The sequence below is a fragment of the Homo sapiens genome, chromosome 20 (assembly GCF_000001405.40).
Source record: "Homo sapiens chromosome 20, GRCh38.p14 Primary Assembly".
Classification (NCBI taxonomy): Eukaryota; Metazoa; Chordata; class Mammalia; order Primates; family Hominidae; genus Homo; species Homo sapiens.
The window spans coordinates 48,192,096-48,209,318 of record NC_000020.11 but is presented as its reverse complement, the minus strand read 5'-3'; the positions used below and the strand labels follow the sequence as shown (position 1 = coordinate 48,209,318).

The 17,223-nt window shown below is 53.9% G+C and overlaps 1 long non-coding RNA gene across 4 annotated transcripts, besides 2 other annotated features; it reads right to left on the bottom strand.

The window, feature by feature from the left end:
- Nucleotides 2,776-3,307: an enhancer, noted in NCBI's record as "H3K4me1 hESC enhancer chr20:46834755-46835286 (GRCh37/hg19 assembly coordinates)". NCBI's record gives its function as "activates a minimal SCP1, AML or CMV promoter by ChIP-STARR-seq in primed H9 embryonic stem cells {active_cell/tissue: H9 hESC(primed)}" and the evidence as "EXISTENCE:reporter gene assay evidence [ECO:0000049][PMID:30033119]".
- Nucleotides 4,374-4,906: an enhancer, noted in NCBI's record as "H3K4me1 hESC enhancer chr20:46833156-46833688 (GRCh37/hg19 assembly coordinates)". NCBI's record gives its function as "activates a minimal SCP1, AML or CMV promoter by ChIP-STARR-seq in naive H9 embryonic stem cells {active_cell/tissue: H9 hESC(naive)}" and the evidence as "EXISTENCE:reporter gene assay evidence [ECO:0000049][PMID:30033119]".
- LOC105372641 (uncharacterized) lies at nucleotides 6,563-16,997 on the bottom strand. 4 transcript variants are annotated; one of them, XR_936809.4, is made up of 5 exons: nucleotides 16,829-16,997; nucleotides 16,280-16,425; nucleotides 14,670-14,865; nucleotides 13,880-14,068; nucleotides 6,563-8,636 (listed from the first exon to the last, which is right to left on the bottom strand). It is a non-coding gene; the product is annotated as an uncharacterized LOC105372641 (long non-coding RNA). The 4 variants fall into 4 exon arrangements; XR_936807.3 differs by lacking the exon at nucleotides 6,563-8,636 and adding an exon at nucleotides 9,763-12,453; XR_936808.3 differs by lacking the exon at nucleotides 6,563-8,636 and adding an exon at nucleotides 9,763-11,782.
- Between the last annotated feature and the right edge of the window lie 226 nt (nucleotides 16,998-17,223).

Sequence of the window (17,223 nt, the reverse complement as noted above, 5' to 3'; positions counted from 1 at the left end):
TGACAGCTGGTCCAGGCTGAGGCTTTCTGAGTAGAAATCGATCGTGTCCCAGGGGCTTCTAGGAGTGACCCTCTGGCCTGGCGAACCAATTAACCACTTCCCCAAGGAAGGAAGAGGCTGGAGCAAAGGTCAGGCTGCAGTGCCCCCGCCCACCCCCACACCAAACAGCCCAGCTGTTTACATGGGCACATGCCCTCCAATTCACTGTCTGTACAACAGGGCAGCCTCAGCCTGAAGAGGTCCAGAAAGCAGTTGGTGTTTACGGGTCCTGTTTAGAGAGGAGGTGAAGCCACACCTCAATCCACCAGTGAAGTGGCAGAAATGCACCTTTTGTTGCAAAACTTCACAATATCTTGGTGGCATTAGTGCAAACTGGTTGAAGCACAGATTCTGGATCCAGAATGCCTGGTTTGCACCTGCTTCCTCCCAGCCCTGTGACCTTAGCCAAGTATACTTGAACACGCTGGGCTTGAACGTGTGTTTCCTCATCTATGAAATGGGACAGTAACAGAATGTTTTCTTCATGTGGCTGGGACATTTAAAAACATTTTCTCATAAAAGGACTTAGACATAGCTATGCCTGCCATGTTCACTATTATTTCTGTTTGAGTCCCTGTGTTGCATGGGTAGTGGAAGTTTGACCTCAGACAATTTAGGGTGGCCCTTTCCCTTTTTGGAGGGTTTACCTGGTACCAGGTGACAGTGAGAACTAACATGGTCATTGGGTCACATCCCTCTGAGTCAGCACTTGCTGAGACACTCGTCTTGCAGCCTGGATCGTGGGCATCCTGGACACGCTCCTTGTGCTGGTCCCACAGCCCTCCTAGCCCAGCTGTTCTCTCTGCTACTTCTGGGCCACTTGGGGGCACATGAAAATACCCCACAGCTCCTGCACCTTGTGGGGTGGGCACTCTCTGCCATTCTCTTGGATCCAACAGCCAACCAGGCAGGGGCTGCGAACGCACATGTCTGAAGGGGCGAGGCGAGGACATAATGGGTGAACGGGCCCGTTGGGGGTGGCAGTGAACTGGCAGGAAGGTACCATGTAAAGGGACGGCCACTCCCCAGGTCTGGCTAATTGTTATGTGAAGGAAGCAAGGCCCTTTGAAACTTAATTCTTTGCTTTTGCAAGAAACCAGGGGTTATTCTATGAAGTCTCCTGATTTTTAAGTATTGCTAAAAGTCCGTTTTAAAAGCACCATGTGGGCCAAACATAAAATGCCTGCAAGACTGAGCTTGACCTAGACTCGAGGTGCAGTTATTCCCTGCCTGGGCCTTGGTGCCTCCTTGAACTCCACCCAGGCCCTTGCTGTACTCAAAGCCACACACCACACCCATCAGGGACTCTGGCCACCTTCCTGGGGCATTAGACACAGGGGACCCAGATCAGTCTCCCTAAGGTTTCTGTGTTTGATACCGGCCCCAGAAGGAGCAGGGGCCTCCAGATCAGCTTGACAGGAGCAATGCACGACCATTGATCTATCCATCCAACACCCACCCATCCACCCACCTTCCCACCCATTCACCCATCCATCCATCCATTCATCCATCCACCTTCCCACCCATTCACCCATCCATCCATCCACTCATCATCCATCCATCTATCCATCCATCCATCCATCCATTCACCCATCCATCCATCCATCCATCCATCCATCCACTCATCCATCCATCCGTCCATCCATCCATCCACCATCCAGTCAACAGAAAAGTATTGAATGCCAGGTGCAACAGACCCAGCTGTGAACAAACAGCTGTTGACCTCATGCGGCTGATATTCTATCAGTGGAGCCAGCAGTAAACAGAGTAATTAAGTAAATAAATAACATGTTGAGTGGTGGTAACTACAAAGGAGAAAAAGAATGCAGGTGAGAGGAATAAGATGTGTGTGTGTGTGTGTGTGTGTGTGTGCATGACACACATGCATGTGTGTGATTGTGTGGGTCTAAATTATATATTGAGTAATTGGGAAGGGCTCACTGATAAGGTGACATTTGAGAAAAGATCTGGATTTGTTGAGGGAGAAAGCCATGTGGGCTAGTCATCTGGAGAAAGGGCATTTCAGGTAGAGGAAGCAGCATGTGCAAAGACCCTGAGGTTAGATGATGCCAGGTGTGTTTGAGGAACAGCAATGAGGCTGCTGTGGCTGGAAGAAGGTGAGAAAGAGGGAAGTAAGGGAAATGAGGCAAAACATAACCAGGGTCGCATCAGGCAGGGCCTTGTAGACAACTGCACGGACTGTCTTTGGAGGGAAGAAGTGCTGTGAGGAGGAGGAACAGGAGCTGTCTCAGGTTTTCACAGGGCCCTTCTGGCTGAATATGGAGGAGGAACTGCAGAAGACCAGAGACGGGTCCAATGCAGTATTCAGGAGGGAGGTAAGGAGGCTTGGATGTGTGGTAGCAATGAAGGAGGCGAGAAGTATGCGAATTCTGGTTCTACTAGAAGACAGATGCTATGGTCTGAACTTTTGTGTCTCTTCCAAATTCAAATATTGAAGTCGTAACCCCCAAGGTATTAGGAAGTGGGAGCTTTGGAGGTGATTAGGATTCATGAATGGAATGAGTACCCATATCAAATAGCCCCCAGAGAGCTGGCTCAGCCCTTCCACCATCCGAGAGGACATGGCAAGCAGGCAGCATTTTCTGAACCAGAGAATAAGCCCTCTCCAGTACTGAATCTGCAGGCACCTTGATCACGGACTCCATGTTCTCCAGAACCGTGAAAAAGAAATTCCTGTTGTTTAAAAGGCACCCATTTATGGTATTTTGTGATAGCAGCCTAAACAGACCATGGCAGCAGGCTGGCATGGTTTACTGCTGGAGGGAAGGGGCGTGTGTGAGGAAGAGGGGAGTCGCTGGTGTGCTGTGAGGCTCAGGGCCTGCTGAGACAGGCCCCGGAGGTCCTGGCTCCCTTCACATTTAGTCACCTGCCAAATCCCAGAACTATCACATGGCCCCGAAGAGGTACCCCGGTGTGGGTTGAAGTTGCCCCCTCCTCACTCCCCCGGAATGGGGGCTGGGAATGAGGGAATGAGACATTCAATTGGGAGAGAAGTACGGGGGTGATGAGTTTCCCGCTCACCTGAGTGTGAGGACCAGACTCAGTCCACAGTCTGACTAATGCTCACAGTTGCGGGCCTGGGATGTCCCTCAGGGTGGAGACGGGGTCCGTTACCTCCCTGCTTCCCCTGCACCCAGGAGTGGACGTACTGTCTCTGCGTAGCCTCTGCCAGGTTGGGGGTCAGAAGGCTTCATCCTTCCCTGGGGCTGGGAGCTGGAGTAAATCCCCTCTGCAGCCTGAGGCCCAACAGCTGCTGGGTAATTCCTCAGCCCCCAACATGTGTCTGCCGAGACTCCGTAATCCCCAGACCTCCAGGGGCTCAAGTGTCAGTTGTGCCTGATCAGAGAAGGAGGGAGGAGGAGGGGCGGAGTGACACAGAGGAGGAGACAAGGGAAGGGAAATACTTGGTGGCCCTGGGAAATCCACCCCTGCAGCAGCTGTGAGGGCCCATGGTGCACCAAGACTGGCCTCCCCACCAAATCCACAGGTATTTATGGAGGGCCTACCACAGGGGTCACAACTGGATGTCCCAGACTCAAATGCAGCCCACAGGCGTGTGCAAGGGCCAGGCATGTTCAACACACCCAACACTCAGTAAGTCAGGACAGACACCAGCAATGCCCAGTGGGTGCTCACTGTGTAAATACCTGCCCTGGGCATGTCCCCTGTGGCTGTGCTCAGTGGTCCTGCCCTCATTTGCCTGCAGATTTTGGCACCCACCTGCTGTGCTTGAATTGATGAGACGCTTGTCAGAGCCACTTGAGGAGGCCTGTGTCCACCCACCAGCCAGGACATCCAGGAAGCCAGGTCCCCAGTGTCCCTGCCAATCATAGCCCTAGTCCTAAAAGCCCAGTGCTGGGAGCCACTCCCTTGCCGGGAAGCCTCAGCTGACAAAGTATTGATCAGCCATTGGTCGATGGGGGCCTTGAGCTGTCTGGGCTTCCTGCAAGGCTCGGTGATCCTTGGCTCCAGGAGCCCATCCTCCCAGGGCGGGGCAGAGCACTACCTTGGTCCCCCAGCAGCCTTCTGCTGATGGTGACTCTGTGCCCACCCTACACCCAGCTGTCTGCTCACAGCGCCCACTTCATCTTCCCAACGACTCGCCAGGGCACTGTCCCCACTTTAAGGACCACAGACCCAGATGCAGTAACCTGCTGAGGCTGTGGCCACATGGGGTGGGGTCACTCCCCACTGCCTGTGCCCCCTCCTGCTGCCAGACCCCCAGGTCTGAGGCCACATGCCCAGCCCAGGGCAGCAGCTCCAGGGGGCTCACGGGACCTGCCCGTGAGACTGTGATTGGCAGGTGGTGACCCACATCTGACAAATAAGGGGTATGCTGAGGTTGAGTCTTCTAAGGAAAAATTCAACCAACGCATAGACCCTGCGTGCTCATGCTTTTTTCCTGCTGCCACCCTTTCTTCCTGCTCTGGCCCCGTGTCCCATCTCCCTGGCCTCCACCCTGGTCCAGCTCCACCATACCCGGCCCACTGAGTGGCCTTCTCCCAGGGTTCCCTGCCTTCCCCTTCACTCCCACAGTGGGTCTCCACACATGGCCCCGGGGGACTTAAAACCTTGCTCAGGTCCTGTCCCTCCTGTGCTGGGACATCCCGGCCCCCAGCTTGCTCAGCACGAAAGCCAAAACCTCGCCTGGGCTTGGGGCACCAGCTCCTCCTCAGTCCACCTCCCACCCCACAGGGGTCCCTTGCAGCCCCCCAGACTCTCCAGGCTGCACGTACCCAGGCTTGGCCTTGCTGTTCCTTGTGCTGAAGCCCCCTGTTCCCCCCCAATCCCACTCCTATGTCTGCCGGGCTCCCCCACCTCCTCCAGATCTCAGGCCTCCTTCCACAGCGGTCCTCTCAGACCTCCTTTGCTCACGCATTGCCCGTGACTCCCTGTTCCTCCCTCCAGCACGTTTTTTCTTCCTAAGACTTATCCCAATCTGACATTATAGTTTATACTTAATCATTCACTTCTTCAATATCTGTCTCCTGTCTCGAAATATCCACTCCAGGAGGACAGGAATATGTGGCATTTTTGCACCGCTATGTTCTCAGGGTGCCTGAACATGGCACCGGGTACTTACAGGAGCTCATGGATGAGTGTTGGGGAAATGGATGGAAGGAAACAGCCTGGAGAGGGAGGCATGGGCTGATGGGCAGCGCTGGCCTTGGGACACTCAGGGAACCTTATGGCAAAGTCACCGCTCCCAGGGCTCCGCGTCTTGTGTCTTCATTCATTCACCACCCATTCATTCATTTATTATTTCACCCAAACAGGCCTTTGCTGTACACCTACTATGTGGCAGCAGCTACTATGGGTTCTAGGAATAAAGTGTTGGGAAGGAAAAAAAAATTCTCCTTCACGTCTTAGTCTCTGGCTGAGTTCTGAATTCAGCTGACATAGGGCAGATGAATAGGAGAAAGTGGACAAGCTTGACTACATTTTGACGTGTACATGGGGCCTTCACAAGAGAAGGAAGCCCTGAAGAAGTGCCCAGTGCAGAAAGCATTTATCTCTCTCGAAGAAATGATATATTTGTGAAGAAATGATGAGACAAAAAGGTTTGGACTGGGGGCAGTAAATCGTGGGGGAGGAACTGGAAGATTCGTGGGGGAGAAACGAGTAAAACTGGTGGAAGCAAAGGGTTATTTTATTAAGTGTGTTTGTGCAGATGCACCTCGGCATCCACTCCCAGTGTTTGGTGATAAGGATGTTCTCTTCCTGGTACAAAGGGAGTGTGTATCTCGTGGGAAATGTCATGGCCTGTTCTTGGTTAGAAAAGGGGAGGTCCGAAGGCCCTGCCTGCACCTGCTGTTTCTCCAGTGCCTGCAGCTCAAAATAATCCATATACCAAAGTGACGTCATTTGGGGTAGCTTGTCCTTAATTCCTTCTAAAGCAATGAACGTAACAAACAAAAAAAGCCTGTGTCTTAGGACTTCACATTTCACAGCAGGGGCTGGACAATGATCAAGAAGTGAAAACTTGGTTTGTCTGATGGTGATAAGAGCCAGGAAGAGGACAGAGGGGAAAGGAGGGAGGAAGTGTCAGGGTTGGCACTTTAAATGGGGTGGCCAAAGACGCCCTCACTCAGAGGCAACATCCGAGTCAAGACCTGAAGGAGGACACTGAATCCTCCCGACAACCCTGTGAGGGGAACCATCATCCTTATTTTCCATGGGAGGCTCAGAGGGGTTCAGTAACTTCCCTGAGGCCACACAGCTGCTGCATGGTGAAGCCTGGTTTCAACCTGAAATCAGGCTCTTGACGGGTTGTAACTCTGCTCCTCCACGTCTTGCCGGGGCTCGTAGTCACTCTGGGTCTGAGTGTCCTGGGCTGTGTCTGCCATGAGAGCTCAGCTAGGGGCCTGTGACAGCTGCCTGGGAAGGACGCCCCTCCTCCTGGGCCTTCTCTCCTCACCCCTCCCGATGTTCTAATGAGCAGGGAGAAAAGACATCATACAGCACAGCTAGAATTCATTTCAATATTAATTCTGAAACCTCATTTTCAGCGGATAATTAAATTACTTTTTAATTACAAACAGAATATCTGTACATTCCCTCTGAGTGAGCACGGGCGGGTGGGGAGTGGGAAAAATGGTGCCGCCTGGCATTTTCTGCTCTGTCCCCAGCACACAGCAACCCCGCAAATGGTCCCCTCCTTGTCACATCTGAAGGCTGGGAGCACGTGTCCAGGCGACCCACCTGCCCAGTCACCAGACAAATCCCACCAATGAAGCCGTGTTCTCTGCTGCGCGCAGGCAGAGCATGAAGCCCCCGCACTGCCGCCAATAGCCACCTCCTCCCCAGCCCCTAAAAGCACTCAAAGGGAGGACACCAGGTTTCCACTAAAAAAGGAAAAGGATCCCCTCGAAGTGAGTCTTGGACAGCAGAGGCCACATTGCCTCAGATGGGCTGCAGAGAGGGGTCTGCGGTGAAGGCAGATGCGAGCTGTCCTGACCCAGGCACTTCTGCAACCCAGCAGAGAGCCCGGGCCAGGGCACAGTGTCACTGCAGAAAGCGACAGTGGACAGCAGCCTCTTCCCTTCGTGGAGACACATGTCTGCAGCTACAGGGTCACAGCAGTGTCCCCTCCTGCTCTGTCCCCAGAGAGCCCCTCCCACACCCTCTGGGCTGCCTCTGGCTGGAGTGTCCAGGCTGTCCAGGCCTGGGCGGGTGAGTGACAGAGGAGGCTCCTAGAGGTGCAGCCTCTTGACCACTGACCAGATGCAGCCTGGGGACCATCCCCAGGCCTTGGCCACCAAGTGTTTGAGGCGGATGGCCTGGTGGGCACAGACTTTGGGGACAGAGGAATTGAGTTAGCTCCTGGTTCCATGGCTGAGCAGCTGAGAAGGGGGTGAATGCCTGCTGCCAGCCACAGCTGCGCCCTGGGTGAGGAGGGGGCCCACCTGAGCTGGGGGAGCCCAGAGCTGCCTGGGCAGGGATGAGCATAGATGGTGCCCACCACCCACAGCAGCCCTGCCCGTCAGAATCCACCCTCTGCGTGACCAGCCCTGAAAGCCACCTTCTGTTGGCTTCCTTCTTCTCCTTCACTTCTGCCTGGCCCGTCTGTGCAGCCCCTGTCAGGGGGACACAAGACTGTCAGCACAGTGCAGCCCCCAGGAGGAGATGGCAGTCCCCAGACCCCATGTCCTGCCTGGCCCCCTTTCACATGAAAATGGGAGAGACAGCCAGGCAGATAGCCACTAAGCCGGGTGCTCTGGAGAGTATGGACACGAGGCCACATCCACACCAGGTGGCTGGAGCGGCTGCTGGACAAATGGTATCTGATGATGCCTGTCACTCCTGCATCCTCTGTCCCTGGAGCCCTGTCCATCCTCTGCACAGAAATCACACCTATTATCTCCCCTCCATAGCACTCTGCGACCACGGGATGGGAACTGCCAGCCCAGCCTCTGAATATCCCGCAGCCTGGTGAGCACGAGCGGTCCCTTTATTTAAAGTGACACCCAGATCCCCAGGGTGAGGAGCAGAGCAGATCTGGATCCCAAAGGGGTCTCTAAGGCTGCTTGGAGGGAGGAATCTAGGCATTGTGGGTGGGAGCAGGCTTTCCAGGCAGGAGGCCCCAGCAGAGGAGAGAGCAGCTGTTGCCTGGAGCCTCCTGTGGGCCTGAGTTCAGGGTCAGGGTGGCACAGCCTGGACGCAACCGTGCTCTGCCTCTCTACCCAGGCCCTCCACCCATTGCCCTGGCCCCTGAATAGGGAAAACTCCAGCCCATCCAGAGCAAGCACCATGGCATTTTGCACCCAGCCAGCCTGTTTGGACGTGGAGAGGAGGCCTGGCCTCGTGGCCCCAGAGAGCCCTCAAGCCAGAGAGCCCCAGAGTGATGGCAGTCGGTGGAGGGGGTCCCCTTCCAGGCTGGGGATTCTCCACTCCTAGGATTCAGCTACTCCTTGGCATGCAGCAGCACAGCCCCAGAGGCTGGTCATGGCCCTCCTGGTGGGAGATGCTGTAGGGTCCGTGACCCTCTTGGTGGGAGATGCTATAGGGTTCATGACCTGTGGAGATGACGTAGGATGTCTCCTGCCTCAGAACCTCCCCAAAGCCTCATGCTGGCCCTGTGCAAAGGAAAAGGGAGTTAATTCTACTCCCTCTAATTTCCAGACTTTATGGAGAGAAGCCAGGACTTCCATTCCAAAGGAACCTTAGTTTTCTCATCTGCTAAATGGGCTTATGGGGAAGACAAGAATCACCTAAGAGCAAACAAAAGAGGGAATTCTGCTGGGATTGTGGACCTAGAGGCGAGTGGCGATTGGGCTTCCCCACTCACCTCAACAAAGTAACTTCCCTCCTGCTCCCGGATCAGCCACCATTACACAGCCCCGTGAGAGCTGGGACCTTGCCTGTCACGTCTAATGTTGGATTTTCAGGATCTAAAATAGCAGGTCCTGGCTCACAGTAGAGCCTCAAAAGATTCGTTGAGTAAGTGAATGAATGAATTGAAAGGTGAATTAATGCATTGACTTTATGTGACCTTGGTCCTGCTCCTTGTCTGGGTGCATCACCATCACTCTCCCCCTAACTTACTCGGCCACACCAGCTTCCACAGGTTCTCAAACACTCGGGAACCTCCACTCCGGGCCTCTCCCCTTGCTATTCCCTCTGCCTGACATTCCTCGTAGTCACCACCCTCACCTCCTTCAGGGATCTGTACAAATGTCCCCCATCTTGGGACCTCCCTGACCCCTTTGCCTCAATCTGCGATTGACCCTACCTCCCGGCATTTCCTATCCCCACTTCATCTTTGTTTTCTCCGTAGCACTGAGCACTTTCCAATATATTAATTTCTCTATTTTGCTTATTATCATACTCCCCGCAGGAAGGCAGCCACCAGGGCAGGGATTGTGGCCTGGTTCGTTCAGTGCTGTTTCCCCAGCGTCTGGGAAAGCAGTGCCTGACACATAGCAGGTGCTCAGTCAACATTTCCCCAGTGAACAAGGAAACAGTCGAAGGAGCGTCCTGTGGGCTGGGGGAAGCGGAGAGAGCTTTCGTGGCTGAGAGGACTTGAGATGAGTATTGATGAGAGAAAATTCCAAGTAGGACAAAATACTCAAAACCAAATGTGGTTTCGGGGGCTTGGGGCAGGTAGCATCCCGCAGGCCCAGTTTTGGTTTGTTGTTCTGTGTGTGTTGGTTTTTTGCATGTGTGCCTTCATTAGATCTCATGCAGGCTTGGCAACAGTTCTTTGGCAATTAATTTAATGTTTTATTCATCTTTGAATTCCTTAAAGCTGCAAATCAAACCGTCACTGGGTGCTTTGCTCACCACGTTCCAGGCTCTGGTGTCGCAAATAACTGTGCTCTTTGCATACCAAGCAGACCTTGCTGTGTCCTGGGAAAAAGTATTTCTCCTGGTGCTCATTGCTCTAATTGCATCCACAGCGAGGCAGTCCAAATATGTTTCCATCCGCATTTGCATTATGCAAAACCTTAATCTCCCCAAGTTTCCTAAAGCACTGTGAGTGACTCACAGCCTCTCGATGCCAGGAAATGCACTGTTTGATCTGCCAATCCATATAAATTAGATTTATTGGGAGGAAAGAAAGGAGGCTTGATACTATAAACTATTGGGAAATAATCACCCATGTGCACGTGTGCCCCATAAATTTGCTACTTTGGAGAAAAACGAGGCAGCTGACCCAGCACATGTTGCTGAATTTATGTCCTCGGTGCAATGATCACAATGCAATGGTTGGTGGACTTCTGTGTTGGGCAGACTTCTGCGTCATCTGAGTCTGGGTTGACTGGTTTGTCAACTCCCACACTGCCCGATCTGAGGACAAACTGGCCTGAGAGAGGCCAGGGAGGACAGTAGAGTAGCAGGGTTGTCAGGGTTATGGCCAGAGCCCAGAGTAGGGAATGCCAGGACTGTCCTCTGTGTGCTTCAATATGTCATGCAGGTAATTTATCTTCCCTTAGCTTTAGTTTCTAGTTTCTTTCTTCTTCTTCTTTTTTTTTTTTTTAGACGGAGTTTCACTCTCATTGCCCAGGTTGGAGTGCAATGGCGCAATCTTGGCTCACTGCAACCTCCGCCTCCCAGGTTCAAGCAATTCTCCTGTCTCAGCCTCCTGAGTAGCTGAGACTACAGGCACATGCCACCACGCCCAGCTAATTTTTGTATTCTTATTTTTAGTAGAGATGGGATTTCACCATATTGGTCAGGCTGGTCTCGAACTCCTGACCTCAAGTGACCCACCCACCTCGGCCTCCCAAAGTGCTGGGATTACAGGCGTGAGCCACCGTGCCTGGCCAAGCTTTGGTTTCTTTAACTGCTGTTGGGGGAACACAACTTAATAGACCATGTAGCGATGAGGGTTTGATGGTGTCCTGGGTGGAATCCTCACTGGACGCCTTCTCTGTGCCAGGCCCTGGTCTATGCTCTCGGGGGCAGTGGAGAAAAAAGGTCAGCCTAGGCCCCTGCTTCAGGGAGCTTACAGAGGACGCACCAGGCGGCAACCCTCATGGAGGAACTCAGACCATGATAAGCGAGGTGGTGCATTGTCTTTATCACACAATTCACTTTGAGTTGGATTTTCTGTTACTTGCAGCCCAAAGCACCCCACCTGCAGTAGGCAGGCCCATGCTACCTGCACGCAGTCTCTTCCATTTGGTGAGCAAAGACCTTATCATGTAGAAAGCGCCAGAATTTTGCAGCATCAGAACCCCTGCAAAGTGTGGGTCATGATCCCTACTTACAGATAGGAGTGTTAAAAGAGGGTTAGTGAGGTCCCAGTGTCAGACCCACAGGCCATGGCTGAGTGAGCAATTGGCTGTGGTCCCATCTCGAGTCCCAGGGCAATACCTCTCCTGCCCTGCCACTGCATCCAGAAGACCTTCATCATTCTGTGATTTGAGGCCCTCCTCAGGGCATCCAAGCCCCATGGAACCCCCACATCCCATCACCATTGCTTTATGTTCTCTTGATTGGAGTGGCTTCCTGGGTTGAAGAATTACATCTCAGGACATTTCCTGTTGACACCTGCATGTCTCACCTAGAGAAATAGTGCTCGTCCACTGGCACAAATCAGTTCTTCAGATTAGGCCTCAGAGGTGGCAGGATATGGAAACAATGGGACAGGTAAGTTTGGGGCTGAATTTAATCATGGTGGCAGGGTGAGATTCTATTTATTCGTTCACCCATCACTCCTTCTGGGAATATTTACTGTGTGTCCTCCGTGCTGGACACTGTGCCCTCAGGACCCAGCCTTCCAGTGAGCAGAAAGAAAGCAGACATAAAAACAAGATGATTAGAGCTTTGACAAGGGCTACCATTGTAAGAAGACCAGGGGACATACAGAGAGTGATTAGCGAAAACGAAGGAGCATCCAAGCTTGAGCTCCCTAGACGACGACTTTGAGCATGGAGCCAAGGGCAAGTCGTTTGTCTGGAAGGGGATCCAGGCAGTACTGGTAAGGGGTGGGGAAATGAGACAGGAGAGGGAAAGCAGCCAGCACAGGGTGTTACCGAGCAAGCAATGCAGCGTGCAGCCGGGGCTCAATCCTCCTGGGGCAAGTTAGTGTAGAGCACACAGCTCAGAGTCATCCCGCTGCGGGGCGAGGGGCCTGGGATATTTTCCCACCAGCTACCAAGAGTCACTGGTTGAGGGCCGCTCCCACAGGGTAATGCGTCTTTGGCATTTCTAGCCCACCAGAACAGCCTTCCGGGACTCTGGAGAAATAGCCTCAGGCACAGAGATGAAGGTGGAAATCTGCACAGCGCGCTGCAAGTTCCGGGCTTTATGGGAAGGAACTAACAGCATCTGCCACAGGGATCCCCGTTAGATTGTGGGGGCGGGGGGGTGAGGGTGTCCGTGATGCTTAACTGTAGGTGTCCCATCGGCCAGGTGAAGCTGCCCAGTTGTTTGATCACAATCCATCTAGATGTTGCCGGGAAGTTAATTTTTAGATGTGATTGACATTTAAATCAGTAGCCTCTGAGTCGCGTGGAGTGCCCTCCACAGTGGGGGTGGGTGTCATGCAATCAGTTGAAGGCCTTAAGACACAGGTTCCCAACCCCCAGGCCCGTGGACCGGGATACTGGTCTGTGGCCTGATAGGAACCAGGCCGCACAGCAGGGGGTGAGTTGTGGGTGAGCAAACATTACCACCTGATCTCCACCTCCTGTCAGATCAGCAGCAGCGTTAGATTCTCGAAGGAGCATGAACCCTATTGTGAACTGCGCATGCAAGGGACCTAGGTTGCGTGCTCCTTATGAGACTCTAACACCTGATGATCTGAGGTGGAACAGTTTCACCCTGAAACCATCCACCCAACCCCCCACAGTCCGTGGAAAAATTGTCATCCACAAAACTTGTCCCTGGTGCCAAAAGTGCTGGGGACTGCTGCCTTAAGAGAGTGTGGTCCCTCAAAGAGGAAGGAATTCTGACTCCAGACTGTAACGTAGAAATTCTGCCTGAGTTTCCACCCTTCCGACTCCAGACTGCAACATTAACTCTTGCTGGAATTTCCAGCCTGCCTGTCTGCTTGCAGATTTCACACTTGCCAGCCCCCGCAATCCTATGAGCGAATCCCTTAAGTTTCTCTCTCTCTCTCTCTCTCTCTCTCTCTCCCCACCCCCCCTCTCTCCATATGGATTCTGTTTCTCTGGAAAATGCTGATTGATACAGCCTTCACGTGGGGGTGACAGGTGAGCTAATACCAGAAGGATGAAAAGGGGTCAGATACAAGAAGGTCTGGGAAGAAAGCAATTCAGGCTGCAGGCCCAGCAAATGCAAAGGCCCTGAGGTGGGAATGTGCTTAGTACAAAGTGAACAGGGAGAGATGTGTCGTGAGGGCAGGGACCAGATCACAGGGGGTCATGCAAGCCACAGTGGGGTTTGGATTTGATTCCAAGAGCAATGAGAAGTCATTGAAGATTGTAGATGAGAGAGTGGCATCATCTTAATTGCACTTTATCATGCTTACTCTGGTGGCTGAAAGGAGAATGGATCATGGGGGCAGGCGCAGCATGGAAACTCCACAGGAGCCTGTCTTAATCACCAGGACAAGAGAGGACAGTGGCTTGGACAGGGGGTAATGGACGTGGTGCTGAGCAGTGGGTGGAGCTTGGAGGGCCTGCTGCCCACAGGCTGGGGTCCAGGGTCCAAGAACCCTGGGGTGCAGGATACATAAGGCACAGGTTTCCCCACATGAGCAGAAGTGAGGAGGAGGAGGAGGAGGAGGAGGGGAATTGCATGGTGCCATGTGTGCAGCTAGGCAGGAAGAAGAAGAAGGGCATGGAGTCAAGGGCAAGAGAAGGGAGCTGCCTCTGCAGTCCCTACAGGGCACTGGGATCTGACTCACCTGTTAACTGGGAGGAGGAAGGCTAAGTTTTCTTTCATGCTTTTTCTGGCTCAGACATTCTGAGCCTCCACCATCTGGTAGGGGCAGACCCTCTGAGCCTCTGCCATCCGGACAGACCCAGATGGAGCAGAGGAGGGTGCGCAGGCCAGGGCGTCACGGTGTTCTCAGTCCCTCTTTATAGCCTTGACTCTGCAAACAGGACAGGGGACTGGCTCGGCGCTGCCAGGACACAGCTGTGGCAGCCCCTCACACCCCCATCCCCAGTCTCAGCATCACAGTCCTATGAGCCCCCACAATCCTATGAGCGAATTCCTTAAGTTTCTCTCTCTCTCTCTCTCCATATGGATTCTGTTTCTCTGGAAAATGTTGACTGATTCGGCCTTCATGTGGGAGTGACAGGTGAGCTGGCACCAGTGGGTATGAAGGACGGAGGGCAGCCCTGTGTCCCACACCCAGGCCCCCTCCCCTCCCTTGACTCGCTGCTCCCCAGCAGTCCCAGCTCCATCGTCCTCCAATGTTGCGCGTGCACCATGGAAACAGGTCCCACCTTCCGGGGCCATTCCTGTGCTCTTTTCCAAAGAGCTGTTTGGGCCAAAAGCCTGCGAAGAGAGCCGCAAGTCTGCGCGCCCTGCAGGGCTGGCCCTCGTCCAGCTCATTCGCCCGCAACACTCCTGTCCCTGGAGCAGCTCATCTAGGCCCTGCTGGTGTTTGAAAAGCTCCCATCATCGCCTGCAGCTCTAGGAGGGCTCTGGCGAAGCACAAACCAGGACCTGGGGGCATCTCCCATTACCTGTGGGCCCCACGGCGGTGATGGTGCACGTGTTCAGTAGGCAGTAGAGCCACTGGGAGGGACACAGTGTGGGTCGGCTCTGATTGGAGGGGGACATGGCAGGAAGGATCTGGAGGTGGAAGCCAGGGCAGCAGGGCTGGCCATAGGGTGGGGGTGCTCAGGCAGCCCCGCATGGGGAACCTGGGCCTGGAAAGTTCTGGAAGGGAAACATTTCAGGAAGCAGAAGGATATGGCAGCATCCACACCACATGCTGGGCAGAGGCTGGCTAGGGACCCGCCCTGGGAGTGGATGGACTTGGATCCTGGGCCCCTCTGCTGAGACCCTCAGGACTTCTGGATGGGAAAACAGAACAGCACAGGGCCGCTGCAGTGACCTAGGGAGAGGAGCTGAGCCAAGCCACCCTCACACACCCAAGGACCTGCCCCTGGGCCACACCCCAGACAAAGCCCTGGGCTTAGGTCTGGAGCCACACAGCCTGGGCTCAAATCCAGCCACTGTCCTTGTAAGAAAATTGTGGCTGCAACAACGGGAGATGCGGTGGGTGAAGGTGCCAGCAATGGAGGCCTTTTCTTACCCCTTAGGAGAACTCTGGAGGCGGGAGGGCCATGGCCAGGCAGGGGCTCCACAGAGTCACCAAGCCACTGCCCAGTCTCCTCTGGCCTCATGTGGCCCCCAAGGCATCCCTCATGGTCACACATTGTCACAGCCCCCATGTACATTCATTCACTTATTCAGTCATTATTTATTTGGGGATAGCCACGTGCCCAGCACTGCCCCAGGCCCCAAAAGGGGGCCCATGAGGGAGACAAAGCCGCCGTAGAGCTGCTGTTCTGGTTGGGCAAGCGGAACAGCAAACCAAATAGCTCGGTGTACCAGGTAGTGTATCAGAGAAACTAAACTGGGAAGAGGTGGGGGCCCAGGGCATGGGGAGGGTTGCATTTTAGACACTGTGACAGGGAAGGCCTAGTGGAGATGGAGACTTGTGAACAGAGACCTGGGGGACGGAGGGATCCATGGGGGTTACTAGGGTAGATCATTCCCTGCACAGGGAGCAGCTCGTGCAGAGGCCTGAGACGGAGCTGCCGGGGAGGTCAAGGGCCTGTGAGGAAACCAGGGTGGCTGGGACAGTGAGTGGAAGGGAGAGACGCAGGGGAGGGTGCGGGGAGGGGCGGGGGTCAGTGGGGTCCTGTGGGGAGTGATGGGGTCTTGGGCTTTGACTCAGTGTGAGATGGGAAATCCCTGGAGGGCTCCGAGCAGAGGAGCAACACGGCCTGACTTGGATTTGAGCAGAATCCTCGGGCTGCATGAGACCAGGGAGGAGAAGACCAGAATATTCCAAGCAAACGAACACAGGATGCTGTGCTTTGGATTAAGGTGGTGGCAGTGGAGGTGGGGAGGAGGGGTCAGGTGACAATGCCCAGGGCAGGAGGGGATGAGGCCAGGGGAGAAAACATGCTCCTCATGAGCCCCCTCTCTTTACAGAGAAAAGATTTTCCCAGAATCCCCCAAGCACATCCCTTGCACGTCATTGGTCAGAAGTGGCTCAATGTCCACCAATCACAGGCAGAGAGGTGGGATCCCGCGATTGACTTAGACCCCTGTGATTCACCTTCCGGGCTTAGCTCAGGACCATCCAGAGAGAGCAGGGGTGTTGTCCAGGAGGAGGAAGGACTGTGGAGAGGTGACCAGCATGTTGGCCATCAGCACTCTCCAGCTTGAGGTCTCAGACATACAAGCGACTGTGCCTGGATATGCCTGTACAGAGAAATGGGACACCACCTCGGAGAGTCGTCTGGAAGTTCCAATGGAAGGATGCAGGTCAAGCTTAGGACAGAGCCTGACACACTTGAGAGAGAGTACCTTCAATGTTAACCAGTGTCATTCCTGTTTGCTACGAGGACCCATATCTACCTCTTTCTCAGCCTAATGATGTCACATCACTGTTCTCCCCGCCCCCCGGTTTTCCTGCAGAATTTCTGCTCCCTTCGCCCTGTCATGGTGCTTGAAATTCCCGCATTAGTCACACACCTCCCAGAAGGACCATGAACGCCCTACTTTGTAGTTCATTAGAGAGACAGCTATGAAAATTTGAGAAAAATACATGTCATCATAACTCTATAAAAGTCATAAAATACAAACAAAAAAGCTTCTGACCTACCTACACACAGGGTACAGAGGCCATTCTTGTGCCGTGAGTGTGAGTAACGTGTTGGTCGTGGCAGTGGACACCTGGCACTTCCCCACCTGACTCCTGCTGACCCCGTTCCTGATCACGGCATGGGCGTTGTCCCAGGAACCACCCTCCACAAGTCGCCCCAGTTGGAGCTGGCCCACACCTGGCTGTCGGCCTTTACATAATGCCTAGGACTGACCAATCAGAGAACTGCTTCATTCCCTTATCCATGATGATTGGTTAACGGGGGGCGGGGGAGGGGGGGGGGCTCCTGACTCAAGGCTATCCAATCAGATTCAAAGACAGGTAATTCCAAGCTTTTCACCGGAGGGATTAGAGAAAGACTGTCTCTTCCCACGGGGTTTATAGGTGAGATTAAT